We start from the raw sequence: 3,979 nt of genomic DNA, 5'->3' as shown, positions 1-3,979 counted from the left end.
GAGTGAGCCCCAGTTGCCCACAGGGATTGCTAATGATGGAGCTTGATTGGCTTTTCCACTTCTCCTGACCTGCTCTCCTTGCTCCCTCGCTAATGCTTCCTAGGATCACTTCCTGCCTAAACTACCTACAACCAAGTCCTTGCCTCAGGAAAACCAAAGGCAGCACACAACTCTGATTTTTCATAACTATAAAAGTACCTATCAATTTTGTCAAACAATAGCTTATGTTTATTTACATAGTGTAATGGCCAATGGCCAATACCAATGGCTTTTTATATGGGAAGCATGTATCCTGTATTGCATGCGATTACCAACAGTACTCGATTCACACTGGTTTATGATCATATAGATTATTGTGCACGTAGTTGGTCTGTTGGCTTGCAAGTTCCTTAAGAGAAGAATTGTACCGCCAACTCCCTTTACATGTTATTTCTTATGGTGTCCCCTGTTCTGTCTTTGTTGAATTCACTATTTCTTAATTTTCTATTTACATTTAAAATTTTACTTCTAGTTTTATAAACCAGTAGTATTATGCTAAAATAGGAAGGTTTACATTATTTAGTTATTTTATGGTACTAAGGTGTGGAATCAGTATTTCTAATTTGATGAACAACTTCAGATGTTCACAGAAAGATGGAAATTGCAACTAACTCCTGACAGTTCTTCACATTAAGTGACCAGAAATGGCACCCCAATTTTCTTGACTGAAGATACCAAATGGTAAGGAGTCCAGTTTTGTGCTTATACACTTGAAAAAGTCATCTCTTTCCTACCTAGGTTCCCCACTCCGATTTTCCAGAATTTGGATACAGGTTCTCTTTTTGAGTAATTTCTTGTGTCCTCCTATAACATTATTCCACGGATTTGCTAGTGAAATGAAATATTGCAGTGACCTTTTTAATTCCCCTGACTTTTTACAATCTTGGAAATTTAGCACAACAGCGGGAGTTTAATCATATTCAATGGTGTAAAAGACAAAATAAGGCACCTTTAAATTCAGAAGGAGATGTGACCTCCAAGGTGTTAGAGCCTTCAGAGACTCCCCTGCTGTCCCTATGGACTGCTGAAACTATGTTACTTGTGTTTCTCAGGCCACGTCACTACATCTCTGGCTGACACATCCATCCCTCCCCACTGCTTACATTTTATTTTGAACCAATAGGCTACAAACTCCTGCATCTGTACCACATTAGAAAACTTACTTGCCATGCTGTTTACATTCTGTATTCACTTCTTTTTTAAGAACGTAATTTTTGGTTTATTCACCATAGTATTTATTTAAAGGTTTCAAAGACTTTCATTTCATTGTTAAAACCTATCCTGTGACACTGAATATTTGAAGTCTCTTTAATATCAAACTGTAATTCCATGATGCACGATGCCAAATACCCATTTGTTTACATGAGTATCTAACCACTGGTGAGCTGATTCTTTAAAACAAATTGAATGGTTAGTCTGATTCCTTGTGGATTTAGCAGTGCCCAATCATTTAACCAAGTGTCATTACATGTGTTTTTTAGTTTTAGGTCTCAATTGTTGTGTAGTTTGGTTGATGGATGAGATGGCCTAAAGAAAAGAAAGAAAAAAAGAACAATGTTCTTCACATAGCCCAAAGTGACAGAGTAGATCAGCTCTCTTAAATCCCCTGTCCATATAGCCATTGTGATCAAGGTGATTGATGAAGAATCCTATCAGCTCTGAGCTGCTGAGGTGTCAAACTGATAGGAAAAAGCAGTACTCACAGTATGCCTGCAAACAGTTTGAGAGGCCAACAGCTAACACATCTCTACAATTGGATATGGCTTCCCCTGCCCTTTAGATGCACACAAGTGATTATCAATTCACATTTTCCATGAGATTTTCCTCTCTGCAGCTTTGTAGGTATTCACCCTTAAAAAGCAAATCACTTGAATGTTTCTTCTTCCATAACTAGTTTTTCAAAGTCTTAAATTGAGCCCAGCTAATGAGTATAGGTGTGTTAGTGCAGCTGGAAAAGTATGCTATGTGTTTTGTTTAGGCTTTTTTTCCTTTAAAGCATTTTTACCCTTCCCACTGAGTGTACTTTGTGGATTATCTTGATTACAGTGGTAGACAGTAGGCTTTCTGCTTTTCAGCTTCATAGTTTTTCTTCCCAAAAGAACGCCTGTCTCCCAGTGACCTGTATGGTCACAATTAGCCCCTCAAACACAAGTCCCCATGAAAACTGAAACCAAAGAGTAATGAGAAAGAGAGACAAACTATATACCACTTATTTTCAGGCCTGAATTTACTAGGCTCCAGGCATATCAAAATATTGATGCTGGGACTATTCTCTATATACCATAAAACAGATTTTCTGGTAAATTATAATTAATTCAAAGATAAGAGAGTTTGGTTAATGCTTACATTAACCAAAATCAAATATAGCTGTAAGAATATATCTAGTAAATTTATCATCATCATAATGTTTGATACATATTTGAACTATAAAATATCATATATTCCTGATCATTGATCTAAAGATTCTTGGCAAGGGGGTTCTTCTTTATTTAAAAATTGCTTGTCTCTTGATTGATCTGGAAGTACTAAAAAAAAAAAACATAAAGATGTCATTGCTCTGATCTGAGACTGGGGAACTTCAGGCTCCATAAATTTGTTTTATTTGATTTGAATTAGGCAGTAGATAATGTATCTGGACACAGTTGACAAGAACTTATTTTTTATTTAAAGAATTGTTTAAGAAAAGCAAGCTCATTAAAGAAAATTTAGGGGGAAAGGAGAAAAATAGAACATGCAAATACACAAATGGTACTATTACCTAAATTATAAGAAATACATTGCTGGCATTTTGGTATTGCTGTTTTGTATTTTTGAATATGAAAAGATTTTTTAAAATATAGTTTTGATCATTTTACATAAATTTATTTTAAAATCCTGCTTATTTAACCTAGCATTACGTACCAAGACACTACTACATTATTATTAATACATACTTTTCACAAATTAAATCTTATAAGTTCTATTTGCAGACAGTGTTGATTGCCTATTGAATACCTTTCCCCATTGAATCCTTGCTAGAAAAGCCCTAGTTTGTTCAAGGGACTATCCCTCCTCTACATAACTTAGCGGGAGATTTTTTATTTATTTATTTATTTTTTAAGATCTTGGATTGGGTGTCAGTCAATCATAGTGGTCCCAGTCCTATTTCCACTGGTTGGCTACAGGGTGCTGTGTGACCCATTTATTTGAGTGAGTTGTAACAGGGAGGTCTGTCATTTTGCTCATAGCTACATTTCAAGCTTTAGAGTACTGCCTTACACTTATCAGGTGCTCAATAAATAACTGTTGAATGAGTGAATTCTAAATGCTAAAGAGTTTTCCATTCAAAGTAAGAATTTATTACAAAAGACAGTTCTTTCTGGATATTGCTGTGCCTGTATGTAATGGCTGGAAATGCTACAGTCATCTTGCTATCAGTATAAGGATGAAGCTAACCCAAAAATGAGGTGGACCCAGAGACTAAAGGAAACAAAGCCCAAACCGTCCCTGCAGATCCATTTTAGATTTTTTTTTTTTTTTTTTTTTTTAGAGGGAGTCTCGCTTTGTCACCCAGGCTGGATGGAGTGCAGTGGCACCATCTAGGCTCACTGCAACCTCCGCCCCCAGGTTCAAGAGATTCTCCTGCCTCAGCCTCCCAAGTAGCTGGGATTACAGGCACCTGTCACCATGCCTGGCTAATTTTTTTTTTTTTTTTTGAGATGGAGTCTCACTCTTGTCGCCCAGGCTGGAGTGCAATGGTGCGATCTTGGCTCACTGACACCTCCGCCTCCCGGGTTCAAGCAATTCTCCTGCCTCAGCCTCTTGAGTAGCTGGGATTACAGGTGCCCACCACCACGCCCAGCTAATTTTGCCATGTTGGCCAAGTTGGTCTCGAACTCCTGACCTCGGGTGATCTGCCCACCTTGGCCTCACAGAGTGCTGGGATTATAGGCATGAGCCA

The sequence above is a fragment of the Homo sapiens genome, chromosome 1 (assembly GCF_000001405.40).
Source record: "Homo sapiens chromosome 1, GRCh38.p14 Primary Assembly".
Taxonomy (NCBI): Eukaryota; Metazoa; Chordata; class Mammalia; order Primates; family Hominidae; genus Homo; species Homo sapiens.
The sequence above is the reverse complement of the archived record's forward strand: the minus strand, read 5'-3'. Positions refer to the sequence as shown.